This window comes from Homo sapiens, chromosome 7 (genome assembly GCF_000001405.40).
Source record: "Homo sapiens chromosome 7, GRCh38.p14 Primary Assembly".
In the NCBI taxonomy this organism is placed as follows: domain Eukaryota; kingdom Metazoa; phylum Chordata; class Mammalia; order Primates; family Hominidae; genus Homo; species Homo sapiens.
The window spans coordinates 147,885,330-147,907,344 of NC_000007.14; the positions used below are offsets into that span (position 1 = coordinate 147,885,330).

At 39.5% G+C, this 22,015-nt stretch overlaps 1 protein-coding gene across 1 annotated transcript in view; it reads left to right on the plus strand.

The window, feature by feature from the left end:
• Nucleotides 1–22,015, plus strand: part of CNTNAP2 (contactin associated protein 2) — a 2,304,198-nt gene that overhangs the window by 1,768,529 nt on the left and 513,654 nt on the right. The window contains exon 14 of the mRNA NM_014141.6: nucleotides 18,236–18,392. Coding sequence (NP_054860.1) covers nucleotides 18,236–18,392 — 157 coding nt within the window. The remainder of the gene's footprint in view (nucleotides 1–18,235; nucleotides 18,393–22,015) is intronic.

Genomic DNA, 22,015 nt, shown 5'->3' on the forward strand with positions numbered 1-22,015 from the left:
GAGATATTCTCCAAGGCAATGTTTATGTGGAGTTGGTTCAGGCCCCAGCACGTTGGGAAGAAGTAGTAAATATCATAATAGTGATTGTAGTTATTGATCAGTATTGGTCCAATCATCAGAGCTTTGATCTTTCCTTCTTTGTCAATTTCTTTTACTTTTGACTACAGATTCATTCAGAACTCCACCCCCCGCCACCCCGCCCCATCTTGCAGAAGCCACACTTTCTCCTTCATCACCCTTTGGCTGGTCTGTCTCTCTCTCCTTATGTTCAGAAGGCTTTTCTGTTTTGATCATTCATGTTTGCTTTCTTATATCACCTTAACCTCTTAAAGCTTGATCACCTGAAACATGAGTCTGCCGCTCAGATGATTCTAATCCTCAAATCTGATGATGTCGGCCAACCTTTACCCTTGGAACACTGGAACATTTACCTTTCTGAAACACTCACCGCTCGTTTACCTGCTAGAAGCTGGAGTACAGAATCAGTGTCCAGGTGGAACTCCCAGTCTGTAGGGAAGATGAGCACATAAAGTAACTGCAACACAATACATGAATCAGAGGAAGAAATGCAATAACTAAGTTCTGCATGAACTGTGGCTTAACACAAATAGGGAACAAATACTAGTGGCTGTGGGAAATGAGAATGAAAGCAGATTTCAGAGAAGTAACATTCTTCAAATCACGTTGCCTAGACCCTTCCCATTTTGTAGCTGCTTTCCTAAATTCTTTCTTCCTCTCCTGTTGCTGCAGCACCCTAAGAGGTGGGGCCTTAGCTAGCCATGTGCCCCATTCCACAGACTGTCCCATGCTCAGGCATCAGTTGTCACTGTGGATGACTCACAGAATTAAAGATGCGGTTCTGGCTGGGCGCAGTGGCTCACGCCTGTAATCCTAGCACTTTGGGAGGCCAAGACGGGTGGATTGCTTGAGGCTAGGCATTCAAAAGCAGCCTGGCCAACATGGTGAAACCCTGTCTCTAATAAAAATACAAAAAAATTATCCAGGTGTGGTGGCAGGCACCTGTAATCCCAGCTACTTGGGAGGCTGAGGCAGGAGAATCGCTTGAACCCAGGAGGCAGAGGTTGCAGTGAGCCAAGATCATGCCACTGCACTGAAGCCTGGGCAACAAGAGGGAAACTCCATCTCAAAAAAAAAAAAAAAAAAAAAAAAAAAAGATTTGGTTGTAATCTCTCTCTCTCTTGAAGTCGTAAGTCCCATCTCTTGTACATCCTCATTTCCAAGTTGCTATGTCAGAGGGCTTCTCAACCAGGGTGCTACTGGCATTTGAGGTGTGACATTTATTGTGCAGAACTATCTAACACATTGTAAGACATTCAGCTTTCATGGGACCTGAGGCACTACATATCAGTGGCACCTTACACATGTTTCCGAATCATACCTGAGGAGGTAGTGCCAGCCCCAGTTGAGACCCACTGGCACATCAAATTCACCCTCTATAAAATTAAACTGAAAAAGTGTTCATTTCCCCCAAAATTAACACTCTCCTACTGACATTTCTTTCAAAATGTTCAGATTTGCGTAATCGTGAAACCAAGCATTTACCACTAGCTGATCCATCAGGTCAACACATCCTACTAATGTCCTTTTATAGTATGTTTTCCCTCTGTCTGTTAGGCAGAATGTCACATCCATGATACTCCAAGTCTTTATCACCTAATTTGTAGAATAGTTCCTCTATTTACTGTTGCCTTTCCTTTATGTCACATTGTATAATAAAATATCACCTTGACCATGCCTCTCCCTTGCTTTAAAACCTACAGTAACAGACTTCGACTATACAATTAAGGCCAAATAGATACAACAAAAGTGCTCCCCCATAAACATTTTTAAAATGCATAAGGCCAGGCGTGGTGGCTCACGCCTGTAATCCCAGCACTTTGGGAGGCTGAGGTGGGTGGATCACCTGTGGTCAGGAGTTCGAGACCAGCTTGGCCAACATGGTGAAACCCCATCTCTACTAAAATACAAAAATTAGCCAGATGTGGTGGCAGGCACCTGTTATCCCAGCTACTCAGGAGGCTGATGCAGGAGAATTGCTTGGACCCAGGAGGTGGAGATTGCAGTGAGCTGAGATCATGCTATTGCACTCCAGCCTGAGGGACAAGAGCAAGACTTCGTCTCAAAAAAATTAAAAATAAAAATAATTTTTAAAATCCTTTTAAATGTATGATTGAGCATGCAAGAAATTGAGGAAGATCCTTGAGGCCTAAAATGAAGAAAAATCATGAACCAAGGTTATAAATGAATGCCAAAGCCAGAAGCTGACCTAAAGGCTTCTGTCAGTTCCATGCAACCAGCAGCTTTTCTTTCAGTGGCTATATGAGGAAGAAGGGTCCATGCCAAGTAATAAATTATATCAAATATCCCTGTATGGAAAACAAAATCCAGGGGGTTAGACTCTCAATGAAAAACAAAACTGAAAATGGAAAAATCCACTCTACAAAAGAAGATAATGTAAAAATTTTGATTATCTGAACTTTAGCTCAGAGTACAAAGAAGAAATTATCCCTTGAAGCTATGTAATAGAAAGCCAGTTCTGATGCATGTTTACAGCCTAACTTCACAGCATTTGAATGGTTGGAGAAAACTCAAGCTGAAAATATATTTTAAAGAGGTCCCAGATTGGTAATGTCTCCATGTATCTGAGAAAAGCAAATGCAGATGATCTGAGAGAGACATACCTTCTACTGAACCTCACAGGATTCTCACAGACATATTTCCAAGAAACATGATCTCAAAAGAAAAAATAATCACCAAATGTATGGGGAAACAAGATACTGTAATTGTGAATCAATAGAGATAACTAATAGCATTTTCAGTCCTACAGAATCTTCAGGTATTGAAATTATTGGATTGAAAAAAATTTTAAAGAGAAAAGTGGATATACTATTAAAAATAATGGGTAACATTTGAAAAAGAACCAAATAAACATTACAGGAATAAAAACATAATAGATAAAATTAAAAGCTTAATGTTAGAGATAAATAGCAGTTTCTACCCAGCTAAAGTAGGAACAATGAAATTAAAAATAGATTCTGAAGAAATTTCCCAGAAATCTGCCCAGTGAGAGTTGTCAAATATGAAAAATAAAATATTAAAAGCAAGGAGATTAGATCACAACCAATCAATACATCTCTAATTGGAGTTGTGAAAGAAGAGATAAGAGTGGTGAGGCCTTATTTTGGTGAATGATGGCTAAAAATTGACCAGAACCAAAAAAACATGCAAATTAAGATTCAGATTAAGGCATCATAGTGGATGTAAGCCAGAATGAAAGCAATCCCCAGCTAGACAGAAATTACAGATTATTTACAAAAGAATTGAAATTAAACTGACCATTGACTTCTTGACAATGGAACCCTGAAGAAACAAACTATTGTGAGAAAATAACCATTGACCTTGAATATGCCACCCAGAAAAAAACACATATATAAAGTCTAAATAAAGACTTTTTAGGACAAAATAATGATAACATACTACCCTCTGACCCTAGAGAAAAAAAGATCTCATAAGAATAGTCTGAGATAGAAAAAAGAGGGAACAAAGAAAATAGTAAAATGTCAGTAAATCTATGCAAACATTGACAATATTGAGCAATAAACTTTAATTTGTGATATTTAAGGAAAACAAGATGAAGCTAAAAAATAGATGAAATACCTTATATGTAAGGAACAGAAACAAGCTATAAAATTGCTGTATTGTTTAGGAAGAGAATAAATATACTATGTTGAGACACTGTTAAGTTAAATATGAAATTTAAACTTTCTAGGGTATCTACTAAAAGAATGATATTTAAGAGAATGCAAAATTCTAAACCAGTAGAAAATATATGGAATGAAGAAAAACTATCAATTCAGAAGGAAGAAAAAATACTTAAACATTAGTAACAATAAAAAGCAAACAAGAGAGAAAAAAAGGTACAAATATTTGGAAATAAGTCCAAGTCAGTTATCACAATAAATAGACTAGACTCTCCAGTTAAAAGATAATTTTAGACAATTAAAAAGAAAAACTATGTGCTGTACACAAGAGATATTAAAAACATTAAGGACACCACAAAGTCTGAAAGAAAGATGATAGAAAACAAGGCCAGGAGATTACAAATTCCAAAAAGCTATTGTGAGCCTATTGATACGAATGCAAATGAAAGAGAAAAAAAAATTACAATTCAGAGCATTACAATAGCATAAAAATTTCCAAATTACTGAAAATACCTAATGCTAAACTTGGGAAGATTGAAAGATATAGTATTATAGAAGAAGCTTTTAATATTGATGTCTCAGTAATTATAGGTCAGAAGCCTTTAAAAATCATTAAGTGTACAGAGCAGCAGTATCCAAAAGAACTTTCTGAGGTGATCAAAATATTTTCTGTACAATATGGTAGCCATTAGCACATATAGCTAGTGAGACTGAAAAACTAAATTTTAAATAGCTGCGTGTGGCTATTGGTTACCTACTGGGCAACCCAGATAGGATTAAATAGCATAATTAATAACTGTGAGTCAATGCACACATAGTACTATTAGAAAATAAATATTTTTTCAAGCACATGTAAAATGTTTTTGAATATTGACCACAGACTCGATTCTTTAAAATAAATCTCAACAAATTTCAGGTTATTGGTATCATAAATCCTGTTTTCTATGACCAATTAAATTTTAAAAATCAGCTAAAAAGACACTTTTACAAAAAAAGCTTAAAGCAAAACATATAATTAGACATTTTAAAAATACTTCTAAATAATCCCTGCACTGTGGGAGACTGAGGCGGGCAAATCACGAGGTCAGGAATTCAAGACCAGCCTGACCAATGTGGTGAAACCCCGTCTCTACTAAAAATAATAATAATCAAAATTAGTGCATATTATCAAATAATGATGACAGCATAATTCAAAACTTGAGGGATATTCCTAAAGTGGTATTTTGATAGAATTTATAGTCTTATGTGTATAGTAAAAGCTTAGAAAGGCTGAAAATTATTGATCCAAGCATCCATCTTAAGATATTAGACAAAGAAGGGAATTCTTGTACACTTTTGGTGGGGATGTAAATTAGGACGACCATTATGAGAAACAGCATAGAAGTTCCTCAAAAAATAAAAATAGAACTCCCATATGATCCAGCCATCTCTCTACCTGCTATGTATTTTTTAAAACTGAAATCAGTATGTCAAAGAGGTATCTGCATTCCCATGTTCATTGCAGCATTATTGATAGTAGCCCAGATGTGGAATCAACCCAAGCGTCCATGAATGGATGAATGGATAAAGAGAAAGCAGGATTTAAACACAGTGATTTCTGGAACACAGAAGAACATAGAATACATTATGTTGAGTGAAATGAGCTAGGCACAGAAAGACAAATACCACATCATCTCACTTATATATGGAATTTTTAAAAGTTGCACTCATAGAATTAGAGAGTTGAATGGTGGTTACCAGAGGCTAGGGAATGGGAGGTTGCAGAGTTGTTGATCAAAGGATATAAAATTTTAGTTAGATAGGAGGAATAAGTTCAAGAGATCTATTGTACAACATGATCATTATAGTTAATACAGTGCATTGCATTTTGAATATTGCTGAGAGTACACAAAAAATGATAAGTACGTGAGGTAATGCGTATGTTCATTAGCTCCACTGAGCCATTTCACAGTGCATACATATTTCAAAACATCATGTTGTATGTGTTAAATGTATTTAATTTTTATAGATCAATTAAAAACTATTTTTTTTAAAAAGAATAGACTAAAGGATTATAGGATATATCCAAAGGAAGTAGAACAAATGAAATGCATGTAAAAGCAGGAATAAATGAACAAGAAAATCAACCATACAGTAGGTAAAAATCAACAAATAGATTTTTTTTTTTTTTTGAGACGGAGTCTCACTCTGTCGCCCAGGCTGGAGCGCAGTGGTGAGATCTTGGCTCACTGCAACCTCTGCCTCCCGGGTTCAAGCGATTCTCCTTCCGCGGCCTCCCGAGTAGCTGGGATTGCAGGCGTGCACCATCATGCCCGGCTAATTTTTGTATTTTTAGTAGAGACGGGGTTTCACCATATTGGACAGGCTGGTCTTGAACTCCTGACCTCCTGATTTGCCCGCCTCAGCCTCCCAAAGTGCTGGGATTACAGGCATGAGCCACCACGCCCAGCCAACAAATTGATTTTTTGAAGAGACTAACAAAATCAATAAACTTCTGGCTAGACTGGTCAGAAAATAGCAGGAAAATATATTAGTAGAAATGAAGAAAAGGGATATAAACACAACTATTTCCCAATATATTTAAATATTTAAATGCAAAGAGCAAATTCATTTAAAAAAAACAACATCTACCTGGAATATAACATAAATTAGAATATAAACTTATAGAAATGGATATAAGAATAATCTTATAATGAAAGATACTAAATTATATGAGCCTCAGATAGTTTACCAAATAATTCCAACATAGCCCCCCCTACCATTCTTTGAGTCCAGTATTAACTTGATACCAAAAACATAATGATAGTACAACAAAGGGAAGTTATAGGCCAAAGTCATTCATGAATACAGTGGCAAAAATCCTAAACAAAATAGCAAAGCAAACCCAACCATATGTATGAAGAATGATTTATCACAACAAAGTCGATTTTTTTAAAAGTACTATTATTAGAAAAAATCTCTGAACGCTAAAAGGAGAAAAAACTTTTATCATTTTAATAAGAGCAGACAAAGGATTGAATAAAATTTAGTATTGATTCATGCAAAAAAAAATCCTAACAAATGAGAAATGACAAATAGCTTCCTTAAACATAAAGATGAACTATTCTTAACAGGTGATAGCAGCATCTCAACTCAATGGTTACACATAAAAGCGTTTTCTTTAAAATCAGGAAGCACGTAAAGACCGTCATCACAACTTAGTTTAACATTGAACTAAATGGATCATATCCACTGCATTAGGACAGGAAAGAAGACATATTTTTATAATAGATAGAGGTTGGAAAGGAACAACTGTTGTTAAAAGAATAAGAGAAACAAAAAGAATCAAAGAAACAAATAGCATATGTTTCCATTCCATCACTTTGGTATTAATCACACTTGTTTCTGGAGACCATGGTGTAAAGGAATGAGCCAGGATTACTGAAGGGTCCTGCAGTGCCAGTGACCACAAGACAAGCCAGAACCAAGTTAACTTAGAGTGAATTGGCCTATTCTTTAATACTGCTCAGAATTACAAACTCCCATATAATCTGTCACTTAAATTCCATTCAAATTAATAAAATCTAATTCATTTGAATAAGACTTAAAGTGATTTGATTCTACTGCATCAAATTCTGCTCAGTGGAATCAGTCCTTGATTGAAATCTATTAAGTTCAATTCAGTAAAATAAATTTAAATATTATGCAATACAATTAATTTTTAATTAATTACCATTTCAGTTCAGGTCCATTTTGATCTGAACTTCAATTCTACATTTCTAAATTTGGTCCCTATTCAAATCAATAAAATGCAGCAAAATCCAGTGTAATTCTAAAAGATACAACCTGAAGCTAATCAACTGCATTTATTTCTATTCACCCCTAATCAGATGAGTTTAGTGACATTCAATCACAGAAAGATAAAATGCTCACCTTTAACTACCAAATTGAATGTTTACATTAGAACTTCAGAATTACCAGGTTTTCCCAAACTCACATCACCATCTGCAGTAGGGACTCCACAGGATTTTATCTTGACTCATTCTTTGTTTGGCTTATATATTAACATAGAACAATGTAGAATTGGATGGTTAGGAAACAAAAGAGAATATTGCTATCCTGTTTAATAAGCTGAAATCATAGGTAAGTTGAGATAATAGACTTTTGCATCTATGAGAATGCCAATACATGATTTTTTATTTTATTTTTAAAGTTCTTAATTTAAATAGTAAAAGACAGGAATTTTTGACTCCAGACCATGGTTATAAAACTGAGAAAAAAAGTATTAAAAGGACTGTATTATTCAGAAAAAAATAATTGGGAATTAAATTGAGATGTTACTATAGTAACACCATTATCACCTCTTTGTATCTTACCAAGCAAACAAGGTCCTGGATTGGTATCCCAATGGCACCCAGTCATCTGGGCCTCTTTGTTTCTTTATAGATGTTCCCAAGTGTCCAGTGAACTCCACCTACCACTGTCCTTTTCCCAGGTCAGTATATGGCAGACTGGTCTGATGGTAAGGATCACAGGGACACTGAGTCTCAAACTCTTCCTCTGAGATTCTTATTCTACAGGACAGGGGATCTATATTGTTTACAAGATCTTAGTGGAATCATAGGGAAATTGAAAACCCTTCCCTATACTTACCTCCCACCCGTGGGTGAAAAACAAAAAAATCAGAAGTTATTACTCCACGGCTTCACCTCCCCCACTTCATCCTCCTGTAAGGATCCTGAGACTTCAGCTACCATGGCCCAGATCTTGGAAGTGATTCTGTGCGGATTTTCCACATGTAAAAGAAGAGGAAGCTGTCTGTATTTAAGCCAGAGAACTTTAGGACTAGTAGCCTGTTTCCATTTCCAGTCCCTGGGGGAGGGGTTCCCATCAGGTTTAGCTTTAAGCCCCTATATTCCTGGAAGCGTACACATCCATACTGGGGAAAACAAGAAAATTCTGGCCGGCTTGATCTTCCAAATTACAGCTATCAGATGATTTGGAGGACTCTATAGAGGCTACAGCACCTCCAAATTCCTTCTCTGCTCCATCCCATCCTGGAGATTATTATAAAAGCTTTTACCTTTCTTGTTATCTAGGACATTTGCACTGGAAGGAAAGTTTCTCACAGGTGCAAGAATGTTTTGAATGGTCTAGAATTGCACCAATTAAGGATGCCTATACTTAGTAAGTGTATCATCACCATTCATAACTTAATATGGATTTTGTAATCAGATCAGAGTGCTCAGCTGAAATTTACTTATAAAGTGGAGAAAAAAGATTTGGTAGTGGTAAGAAAGGAAGAGAGAAGGAAGTAGGAGATTTTTCTGAGCATGAGTCGCTTAGAAAAAATCCTGCACTGCAAGGGCCTTCAAATAACCAAATGTTACCAGAGAGCAGAGCCTGGGAAGGACTGCCAATGAGCTGCCGGCAGGGGACACTGGGAACAATAGTGAAAAGCGTGTTTGTGCTGCAAGGGTACCTGTTCTATTTCCTCAGCTGAAGAGCCCCCAGGGACTCTTTAACAGAATTTGTAGATAAGGTTGTAATTGTACATATGATAAAACTAGTTCTCATCAAGCCAAAAAGATGCTTTTACGTTTTCATTTTGGAGATTATATACCCTTGTGGTGTTGTTTTTAATATCCTATAGAAACAGTGGGAATGAAAGAAATTAAATGTCCCAGAGACTGTGCTGGGTCTTATCTCAGAGGGCGCCAGGATCATATTTATTTAAGCAGCCTGTTAAGTTACTCTGTGTAGCCCAGAAGTTCCGAAGAACACATTTTGAAAATCACAGGTATGCACCTCATTTTCATCAAGCAGTCCCCAAGCATTCGCCCTTGTGCTTCTGAAACAACTTCTTGTTATTGGTGAAAATAAATAACAGAAATCTATTGGTTTCTTTTTCTTTCTTTCTTTCTTTCTTTCTTTCTTTTTTTTTTTTTTTTTTTTTTTGAGACAGAGTCTTACTCTGTCGCCCAGGCTGGAGTGCAGTGGCACAATCTCAGCTCACTGCAAACTCCACCTCCTGGGTTCAAGTGATTCCCCTGCCTCATCAGCCTCCTGAGTAGCTGGGATTACAGGTGCACACCACCACAGCTGGCTAATTTTTGTATTTTTAGTAGAAACGGGGTTTCATCATGTTGGCCAGGCTGATTTTGAACCCCTGACCTCAGGTGATCCTCCCACCTCGGCCTCCTAAAGTGTTGGGACTACAGGCGTGAGCCACCGCGCCCAGCTTATTGGTTTTTTTAAGTAAGTCTTGGAAAACTCCTTTCCTTTCTAGCCTATTTTCTTTCTCCCTTTCCCAGTTTAATCATCCACACCATAATAAACCCTTCACCATAATAAAACTTGATCTGAAGTGAGTACAAACAGTATAGTGATTATATTTAATTCATTTCATATTTGGCTGTTTTAATACAATATGCCTTACTTTGATAATTTAGCTCTAGTTAACTTAGAATGCCATTCATCATTACCTAACCTTGTTGCAGTGACCATAGCTACTTAATATAGTTAAATACAATCTTCATATTCTGAGGTTAGAGAAGTTCTTGAACTCTTGGAAATAGATAATTCAGTTATTTCTTTCCTCACCACTTTTTGCCCTTGTCTTTTAAAAAAGCTTTCCATTTTTATTGCCTTTAACTGCTATTCCCCAAAGCCAATTAACAGGTAAATAATGATTTGTAAAGCTAAAAGTAGCATTTCATTAGCATAGCACTGGAATAAGGGAATTCTTTGCTCAAAATAAATTGAACCGTTCTCCTCTTGCTGAATATAAAATACACAACAAATTAATAATTTATTTTAGTTACAGTGATTTAACCAAATTAGCCAATGCTAATAACAAAGTCTACAATTTCCTTTCTCTCTGGAATACGTTTTTCTTATTGGCATTCTTTTGCAGTAGATGTGGAAAGAGCTAAGTTAAGCATTTTGTGCTGTATTTTAACTTATTTTCCTAGGAAAAAGAACAGAACAACATCAATTTTGCATCAGCCTCACTGGGGGCATTCGTTATATGAAGACTAAAGTATTGTGACTTGAGAAAGAGTGAGGGATGGGAGAAGAAGCTGGGAAACCAGGCTGCTCTTGCCAGGTCACTAACTTGCCACCTCCTTGCACCTGTACTCCTTGCACATGGAGGAAATATTTCAGATCATCCCCTTAGGTCCCATCCTGTTGTGTAATAAGAGTCCCTCTCTACTGTAAGCTGAGGGTCTGCCATATGAGATTAGCACACAGCCTGGATCCCATGCACAGCTCAGGGCTTCTACTGGAACACCCACCGTAACCGCCCAAGGAGTTCACCTTGCCCGCTGCCTAGACAGAGTCGATTCATCAAGACAGGGGAGTTGCAATAGAGAGAGTAACTCACGCAGAGCCAGCTGTGCAGGAGACCAGAGTTTTATTATTACTCAAATCAGTCTCCCCAAGCATTTGGGGATCAGAGTTTTTAAGGACAACTTGGCGGGTCGGGGGGAAGCCAGTGAGCCAGGAGTGCTGATTGGTCAGGAATGAAACCACAGGGAGTCGAAGCTGTCTTCTTGCACAGTCAGTTCCTGGATGGGAGGCACCAGATCAGATGAGCCAGTTTATTGATCTGGGTGGTGCCAGCTGACCCATCAAGTGCAGGGTCTGCAGAATATCTCAAGCACTGATTTTAGGAGAAGTTTAGGGAGGGTCAGAATCTTGTAGCCTCCAGCTGCATGACTCTTAACTATAATTTCTAATCTTGCGGCTAATGTTAGTCCTACAAAGGCAATCTAGTCACCAGGCAAGAAGGAGGTCTGCTGTGGGAAAGGGCTATTATCATCCTTGTTTTAAACTATAAACTGTAAGTTTCTCCCAAAGTTAGTTCCGCCTACACCCAGGAATGAATAAGGACAGCAAGGAGGTTAGAAGCAAGATGGAGTCGATTAAGTTAGATCTCTTTCACTGTCTCAGTCATAATTTTGCACAGGCGGCTTCACCACTGCCCAAACAATTCAACAATGAAACTTCCTTTCCTGGGCTTCTGAGCACTCTCTGAAGGTACAGTGGGAACCAGCTGTCTCTCTTCTTTTCCCCTAGAGTATGTTCCTTGTAGTCTCATTCTGAAGGTAAAGCTGATTGTTATCTTCTCCTTTTACTGAGAATGTCCTAATTTTTACAAAGAATACTGGGCCACACACAGCTCTCTGATTCATGCAAATTATTACTGTCTGCAATGAAAATGAAACACAGTGTTAGGTTGTTTCTACTGATCACTCAAAGGAACAATCATAAATTGGGCAGAGATTCTGAGATATATAATCTTTCATTGGTTATTTGAGGTATGGGCAGGACAAAGGAGTCATCTGCTAGACAAACCTTTAACTCCACTTTTACAGGTGCCCGATTTGTTTCTTCTCCTCCACCAAGAGTGTTAGTGTCCTCTAGTTTCCAAAAACAGTGATACTAACCAAAAATTCCTTTGAGAGAATTTAGCATGAGGTCAGCTTTTTGAATGCAATGCAAAAAATGAATATGATAATCAGTTTTGGTAATGTTTCTATATTTTCAGGGTCAGGCTGTGGCCTGCCCAGCCTCAAAGGCATTTCATGAGGTCAAAATGGAACCATCTACCTTTGTCCTCTCTCTATAACATGGCCAGAGATGGAATCAGCCAAGACCTAGTGTAGCTTTTGGGCCAAATGACCTTAACATTTCTTTCGGTGGTTGAGATGCTGTGGTTTCCATAAATGGGATATTTCAACGCTTATTTTTGAAACTCTAGACTTCATAAGGAGAAAAATTTATTATTGGCCATGGGAAGCATCAGAGAAGCTGGATGCTTTACCACTTACCCTGATGGAAAAAGAAAGGAGAAGCAAATGACTTAAACATAGAAAGCAAACACAGCCCCCGCATGCTGGGACCAGGCACAGGTGGACAGAAGACACAGCTTCAGGGTGGACCTTTATGTCAGAAAGCGGGCATGTTTCTCCCTTTGGAACAGGGTACTGAGCTCTCCCTCTTGACTGTTTACCAGATTAAGTCAAATATACTTTCTTTAATGTGGGTGCCAAAAATGGTCATGCCAAGGGAAAATAATAACTTCCAAATTAAGTCAACACACAGAAAAATCAAGAAATTTGTTTGGAGGGAGAGAATACCTGAATAACTAACTCATTTTCAAATTCAGAGGGCTTGCTCATTCATTACATTCATCCTGGACTCCAGTCCCTGTTCATTCTCAACTTTAAATCACCCACCTGTTAACAAAATTATTCTTGAGGAAAACTACTGGAATATCTGAGAAAGTACCACAGTATTTTTTTGCATAATTCCAATATGGTCCCTACTTTTTGTATTGTTTGTTTAGATATTGTGACTGTTCACATGGTAACTTTATGATTTTCCTCACCTTTATTTCTGAGCACTCATAGAGTCAAGTGTACACTTAACATCCCAAGAGGGTGGATGAGTTATTACCATGGAATTTTAACCCATATACCCAGATTTTTTTTTCTTTTTTTTTGAGACAGAGTCTCACTCTATCAGGTTGGAGTGCAATGGCGTAATCTTGGCCCACTGCAACCTCTGCCACCGAGGTTCTAGTGATTCTCCTGCCTCAGCCTCCCAAGTAGCTGGGATTACAGGCACCTGCCACTGAGCCTGGCTAATTTTTGTAGTTTTAGTAGAGACGGGGTTTCACCATCTTGGCCAGGCTGATCTTGAACTCCTGACCTTGTGATCTGCCCACCTCAGCCTCCCAAAGTGCTGGGATTACAGGTGTGAGCCACCACGTCCAGCCCCAGAGATTTTAATTGACTGGCTATTTTGGCTTACTGGCTGACATTACCTCTGTTAGATTCCACTCATTCCCCAGCTTCTGGCAAGGAACCTCTGTTCTCTTAGCATAATGTTCTCAAGGTTCATCCATGTTGTCACATATTGCAAAATGTCTTTTTTAGGTCTGAATAATATTCCATTGTATGTATACACAAATATTATATGACTCTGCTTATATGAGATATCTAAAGTAGTCAAATCCAGCTGAATGTGGTCACTCAGGCCTTTCATCCCAGCACTTTGAGAGGCAGAAGCAGGTGAATCACTTGAGCCCAAAAGTTGGAGACCAGCCTAGGCAACATGGCAAAACCCTTTCTCTGCAAAAAATACAAAAATTAGCCAAGTGTGGTGGCATGTGCCTGTAGTTCCAGCTACTCAGGAGGCTGAGGTGGGAGGATGGCTTGAGTCCAGGAGGTCAAGGCTGCAGTGAGTTATGATTGCTCCACTGCACTCCAGCCTGGGTGACAGAGTGAGACCCTGTCTTAAAAAAATAAATAAAATATAAAGTAGTCAAATCATAGAAACAAAGAGGTCACCAGGGGCTGGGAAGACGGGGAAGTAGGCAGTTGCTAATCAGTGGGCATAAAAGCTTCAGTTAAACAATAAAAGTAAGTTCTAGAAATCAGCCATACAACACCATATCATTAATGCTACATTGGACACTTTAAAAGTTGTCAAGAGAGTGGATTTAACATTAAGTGCATTCTCATATGCTAAAGTCATATTAAGAATAAGAAAGAGTCATCCAGTCAGACGGGTTGGCTCCCACCTGTAATCTTCGCACTTTGAGAGGCCAAGGCGGGTGGATCACCTGAGGTCAGGAGTTCGAGACCAGCCTGGCCAACATGGTAAAACCCTATCTCCACTAAAAATACAAAAATTAGCTGGGTGTGGTGGTGCATGCCTGTAATCCCAGCTACTTGGGAGGCTGAAGCAGGAGAATCCTTTGAACCTGGGAGGCAGCGGTTACAGTGAGCCGAGATCGTGCCACTGCACTACTGCACTCCAGCCTGCACGACAGAGCCAGACTCCATCTCAAAAAAAAAAAAAGAAAGAAAGAAAGAAAGAGTCATCCATTGTCAGGGTCTTCCTGCTCTCTGCTTCCATTCTTTCCACTGCCTACCACGTCTAGGCTTTTCTTCCCGCCATTCACCTGAAACTCCTTTCATCAAAATCTCTAGTGACCTTCCAGCTGTCAAATTAAAAGAAAACTCTTAGTTCCCCATCTTAATAGACTTCACTATGAAATCTGATGGTGCTGGCCCCTCTGCTCTCTGGGAAATCCTCCTGTGTTTTTCTCCCATCACCCTGGCTGCCTTCGTTCTTGCACTCTGCTATGGTCATCTCCATCTCTGGTACGGTTTGGCTGTGTCCCCACCCAAATCTCATATTGAATTGTAATCTGAATTGTAACCCCATGTGTCAAGGGGGGGACTTGGTGGGAGGTGACTGGATCATGAGGGCTATTCCCCCATGCTGTTCTCATGATAGTGAGGAAGTTCTCACAAGATCTGGTTGTTTGATAATTGCCTGGCACTTCCCCCTTCTTGCTTTCTCTCTCTCCTGCCCCCATGAGAAGACGTGCCTTGCTTACCCTTCTTCGTCTGCCATGATTGTAAGTTTTCTGAGGCCTCCTCAGCCACACAAAATTGTGAGTCAGTCAAACCTCTTTTCTTTATAAATGGTTAAAGACCCAGTCTTGGATCATTCTTTATAGTAGTGTGAAATCATTCTTGGGTTTTGGTGGGTTTTTTGTTTGTTTTGTTTTGTTTTGTTTTTGAGACAGAGTCTCGCTCTGTCTCCCAAGCTAGGGTACAGTGGTGCAATCTCTGCTCACTGCAACTTGCACCTCCCACATTCAAGCAATTCTCCTGCCTCAGCCTCCCAAGTAACTGGGACTAGAGGCGCCTGCCACTGTGGCCAGCTATGAAATCATTCCGTTTTTGAAATGATGTTGTAATCTAAAAGATTCCAGCAGCATTTCTCCCACTTCCAATATGTTCTGGTTTGCCCTGATAGTTCCTAAAACATATTTTCAGCTCAGAAAATCCTCCTGAGAACCAGACTTCTACAATCAATTTGTACATTTTGTGAGCAAACCCATTATCTTTTCTTCAACATTCCCTAGACTTTTGATGATGATCTTCCTTCCCTGTGCCCTACCTTCATGGAGCATAGTACCATCCCCATTCATACAAACCAGAAGCCTGGATTAATCCACAGCACTCCCTGCCCATCTTCTCTTCTACCTAAATCCCAACAGTCCCAGCCAGCTATAACTCCTGAACCTTTTTTGTGTGTGTTTTCTCTTCTCCTCCATTTCTACTACTATTTTATTACTTCTTTTCTCTATTAACATAAGAGCATCACATCTAGCCTCCCTGAATCCATTTTGCAGAAATCTATCTTTCATCTTCCTGTTGATCTTTTGAAACACAAATTTAATCATGCTAGTTCCCTGCTTAAAATCCTTTACTAGTTTCCCATTATTTTCAGGATAAAGTTCAAACGTCTTAAATTGGGGGAAGATAAACATTGAAAAGAAAGGATAAACCAATGAAAAATAACTTCTTACTTGGACAAAGGTATTTTGCAATGTGACCTTCATCTGCTGTCCATCTATCTCTTACTATCTACTACTGCTCCTCTCAGCACATCTCTTCAGCCCAATTCTACTACATATGAATATAGTCCTATACATATTTTCCAAATAGAAGTTTACCTTTCTGTCTTTTTACATTCTGCTCCATTTGCCTAGGAGGTCTTACCTCTCTTATGTCCTTATTGATCTGTGTAATGCATACTTGACCTTCAAGATGCAGCTCAACTATTTTGCCTCCTCTGGGAGACCTTCCTTTATGACCTCATTTGCCTCCCCCACTCTCCTCTGTGTTCATAATACTGATAAAACTGTTCTCCAATCTGTATCTTTTTCTTCCATTCTGTTGAGTTGCTTCTAATGTTTGGCACATTGTGGGAACCCAGTGGATGTTTGATGATTGGATGAATGAATGAATGAGTGACTATTAGGCCAAATGATAAAGGAGAGTTGGGGGCTAATCTGCTGTGTGGTTAAAAGAACTACTTAACTCTTCTAGACCTAAATTTCTTTACCCATAAAATTAGGAGGTCATACTCAAAAACAGTGAAAGTTTGTGCTTAGCTCCAATATTCTATGATCTCCATGACTTAGTTCACAAAAAAGCATGACCAGTCACGAGAATTGTATGGTGTAGAATCAGTTCATGGCCCATACACCTTCATTGCGGACTGACCGCAACTTGGCTTCCAGTTTACTAAATAGACTCCTAAATCACAGAAGTTTGAATGTAAAATTGTCTTCCAAGGAGAGAGGTACATATTCCCATGAGAAATCTTAAGCTTAACACTCCCACTGATATTTTTTATCAAATATTTCTACTATTGACATAAATTTACCTTTATGCTTATGTTTATATTTATATACATGTAAAATTGTGATATATACTTTTGAAAACTCGTCTAAGCTTAAAAGAGCCTTTTGAAGTATAGAATTAAAAGCTTTTTTAAAAAAAACAAATTTATTTCTGTAGGTTTTTGGGTAACAGGTAGTATTTGGTTGCATGAGTAAGTTCTTTAGTGGTGATTTATGAGATTTTGGTGCACCCATCACCCAAGAAGTATACACTGAATCCAATTTGTCATCTTTTATCCCTCACCCCCTTCCCACCCTTTCACCCTGAGTCCCCAAAGTCCTTGTATCATTCTTCTGCCTTTGCATCCTCATAGCTTAGCTCCCACTTATGAGTGAGAATATACAATATTTGGTTTTCCATTCCTGAGTTACTTCACTTAGAATAATAGTCTTCAGTCCCATCCAGGTTGCTGCAAATGCCATTAATTCATTTCTTTTTATGGCTGAGTAGTATTCCATCATATATGTTTGTGTGTGTGTGTGTGTGTGTGTGTGTGTGTGTGTATGTGTGTGTGTGTGTGTGTGTGTGTGTGTATGAGAAACAGTTTATTTATCCATTCATTGACTGATGGGCATTTAGGTTGCTTCCACATTTTTGCAATGGTGAATTGTGCTGCTATAAACACATGTGTGCAAGTATCTTTTTCGTATAATGACTTCTTTTCCTCTGGGTAGATATCCATTTGTGGGACTGCTGGATCAAGTGGTAGTTCTACTTTTAGTTCTTTAAGGAATCTCCACGCTGTTTTCCATAGTGGTTGTACTAGTTCGCATTCCCACCAGCAGTGTAGAAGTGTTCCCCTTTCACCACATTCACACCAACATATATTATTTTTTGATTTTTTGATTATGGGCATTCTTGTGGGAATAAGGTAGTATTGCATTTTGGTTTTGATTTGCATTTCCCTGATCATTAGGGATGCTGAGCATTTTTTCATATGTTTGTTGGCCTTTTGTATATCTTATTTTGAGGATTTTCTATTCATAGCCTTAGCCCACTTTTTGATGGGATTGTTTTTTCTTGTTAATTCATTTGAGTTTGTTGTAGATTCTGGATATTAGTCCTTTGTCAGATAGATAGACTGTGAAGATTTTCTCCCACTCTGTGGGTTGTCTGTTTGAAATAAATTGACTTTTAAGAGGGTTGAGTGATGTTCAGACTATCAGAGTATTCCTGGGGAAGTGGGTGTAAGTGTGGCAGTCTAATGACTGAACCCAGGTCTGTTTCTAAATATACCTTTGCCTTTTCTTGTAGATGGAAGCCCTTACACTTGGTGGGTTGGCAAAGCCAACGAGAAGCACTACTACTGGGGAGGCTCTGGGCCTGGAATCCAGAAATGTGCCTGCGGCATCGAACGCAACTGCACAGATCCCAAGTACTACTGTAACTGCGACGCGGACTACAAGCAATGGTGAGTGCCTGCGGGCAGCACAGCCAGGCTCACCCTCCCAGTGTGCCTTTGTGTCAAACTCATGTGATAGAAGAAAGTTTGAAAAGTGCTATAATAATACGATAATAGGGTAGAAAGGTCTGGAACTAACCCAACTGACAAATGTCAGGAACATACTGAAAAATATAAAAGCAGAAAGAGGTCAGTGCGACAAGGGTATGCATTTAGAAACTGAGACATAATTGATGTGTTCATATTTTATTCAGAGAGGAAAATAATGAGCCATGTTGTAGACAGTGATTTGCATTATAAAATGTGCTGTGTAACAATAGAGGGATGGCTGGGGGCGGGAAGCCAGTGTGCATGAGTGCAGGCAGTCAACAGCCTCCTGCGGGGAGCACAACCACCTCCTGCAATGTTTGCGTTGGGGATCTGGATTGGAAAAATAGGAGAGAGAGAGAGAGAAGGGAAAAAACAAAGAAACAGAAAAAATCATTCTTTGCTCTTGTCTTCTGTAAGTGCTTGCCTGTCTACTTTTCTTTCATACCTGGAATTGTTTATAACTCTGATACAAATCAGTTCAAGAAAGATCTATTTTGGGTTTCTTCGATCCCTTTGCTGGCTTTTGTTCTGCCCCGCAGTGAATAGCTGGGTCTGTGTCAGTAACAGATAAAGATAAGATCAGCTGCCATTCTTTGTGAAAAAGGCCCCAGAAGTTTAGGTGGAAGACTATAAACCTAAGTGTGATTCTTTGCAGAAGCACATATCCAGTGCCGGCTTTCTACATTTTTAGAAGTGTTGAGAGGCTCCATTTCTGCTTCTGGGCAGCTGTGCACATAGCCAGTCATGGTCATGAATTTCCCCATATGCCCAGCCATGGTTTTCTTCAGTTCACCTATGTAGTATGCTATTTACAGGGACAGTTTACAAGACAAATTCATTCCACCAGTTAACCAAAAACAAATTCTGAGAACGTAACTTTATATGAATTTCAGGTAGGATGTCTGCTTACTTTCTGAAAGTTATATTTCTTCTAGTAAATATAACAAATTACAAAGCCTATCTATTTCAATGGCTTAGAATGTGTGTGTATATGTGTGTAAAATACTTGTAAATAGCTATCATTAATCTTTAATTATGGATTATTGTAAAGAAGAGATCATGATAATTTTTAATTTTATTTCTTTGAAAGATGTATCTACACACACACACACACACACACACACACACTGTATACAAAGATTGGAAGTTGGGAATGGAGTTAAAAGGGCATGGTCTTTGAAATTAACCTTTTATTCATTCGTTCAATCATTCATTCAGTGAATCATCCAATCAGTCATTCATTCAACAAATATTGATCAAATACTTATGAGTCAGCAACTCTTCTAGGCACTGGGGATAAAATACCAAATGCAAAGAACAAGAATCCCTGTCCTGACTCACATTCTTGTTCTTGATGCCTTTTATTACTAGTTGTGTGTTCTTAAGCCAGGCAGACCTTCTCCCATCCATTTGTCTATCCAACATTAATTCCCTACCTCTTCAGGAAGCTGACATTGGGTTCAGCCTCCCCAACTAGGAGAAGTGGGAACAGAGCCCCAGCTGGTTCATTGTCCAGGCAGCCCAGAGTGCCCTGCCACCATCACCTTGTCCCACCACAGAGGAGAGAAGAGGGATTCAGAAAGAGTAAGATCTAGTACCTGCACCTAAGTGAACTTCATTTTTATCAGACATCATGCTAAGTTCTAGGGATACAGTGATGAATGGAACATGGTATTTGTCCTCAGGAGCTCCAAAACTAGTTGAAGGAAACACACATGTGCACACACAAATAGATAACATAATACAGTCAGTGTTGTGAGGAAGGTGTGTGCAAGATACAACAAAAACTAATGAAAGTGGCGGGGCGTAGTGGCTCACGCCTATAATCCCAGCACTTTGGGAGGCCGAGGCCAGCAGATCACCTGAGGTCAGGAGTTCGAGACCAGCCTGCCCAACAAGGCAAAACCCCGTCTCTACTAAACATAGAAAAAATTAGCCGGGCATGGTGGTGGGTGCCTGTAATTGCAGATACTCGGGAGGCTGAGGCAGGAGAATCGCTTGAACCCAGGAGGCGGAGCTTGCAGTGAGCCAAGATCCCAGATCGTGCCACTGCACTCCAGCCTGGGTAACAAGAGTGAAACTCCATCTCAAAAAACAAACAAACAAACAAACAAAAAAAAACTGATGGAAGAAATTTTCAATCTAACTGGAGGAGTGAAGGAAGGAATCCATAACGTCTTGGAGGAAGAGGCATAAACTTGAAAGACAAGGAAAAGCAAGGGCCCTGGGACACTCGCCCTTGCATGGTGGTCTTGGAGAAGAAGCATGACGGAGCTGGGCCAGGCTGGGGAACTGTCTGTGCAGTTGACAGTTTTGAAAACATTAAGGCCCTAGCATGACATCTGTGTCTAAACCCTGAGGGCTACCATTAGTAGAATTACAGGTTGAAAACATAGATTTTTTTTTTGAGATGGGGTCTCACTCTGTCACCCAGGATGGAGTACAGTGGCAAAACCTCGGCCCACTGAAACCTCTGCCTCCCCGGTTCAAGCAATTCTCCTGCCTCTGCTGGCACCTGCCACCATGCCCAGCTAATTTTTGTATTTTTAGTACAGACGGGGTTTCACCATGTTGACCAGACTGGTCTTGAACTCCTGACCTCAAGTGATCCACCCTCAGCCTCCCACAGTGCTAGGATTACAACCATGAGCCACCATGCCTGGCCAAGATAGATCTTTATTTTTTTTATTTTTTATTTTTTTTTTTGAGACAAGGTCTTGCTCTGTTGCCTGGGCTGGAGTGCAGTGGCGCAATCTCAGTGATTCTCCTGCTTCAGCCTCCCAAGTAGCTGGGACTACAGGTGCCCACCACCATGCCCAGCTAATTTTTGTATTTTTAGTAGAGTTGTGATTTCACCATGTTGGCCAGGCTGGTCTTGAACTCCTGACATCAAGTGATCTACCTGCCTCGGCCTCCCAAAGTGCTGGGATTATAGGCGTGAGCCACGGCGCCCAGTCACAAGATTGATTTTTAAAGATATATATTAGCCTCTGAAGCCATTTCAAAGAACATGTCTGAATTCAGATCACAGATTAGAAGACATTCCATTCCACCCTTATTCCCAGACCTCCTCCTCTGGCAAGCTTCAATTGAGTTCTAACATTTCACAGTTACTCAGGGACTTGGTCACTGCTGGTGTCTTGTTCTCTTCTGGCTTAGCAGCAGCTAAGACATCCCACTCCTTTGCTTCCGTAAAGTTTGTCTAATATTTCATAATAAAGGCACTATAGCTTGAGCAAACTGAAAAGTATAATGAATATTTTTTTTTTTAAGAGACGGAGTCTTGCTCTGTCACCCAGGCTGGAGTGCAGTGGCATGATCTCAGCTCACTGCAAGCTCTGCCTCCCGGGTTCACACCATTTTCCTGCCTCAGCCTCCCGAGTAGCTGGGACTACAGGCGCCCACCACCACGCCTGGCTTATTTTTTGTATTTTTAGTAGAGACGGGGTTTCACCATGTTAGCCAGGATAGTCTCGATCTCCTGACCTCGTGATCTGCCCACCTCGGCCTCCCAAAGTGCTGGGATTACAGGCTTGAGCCAT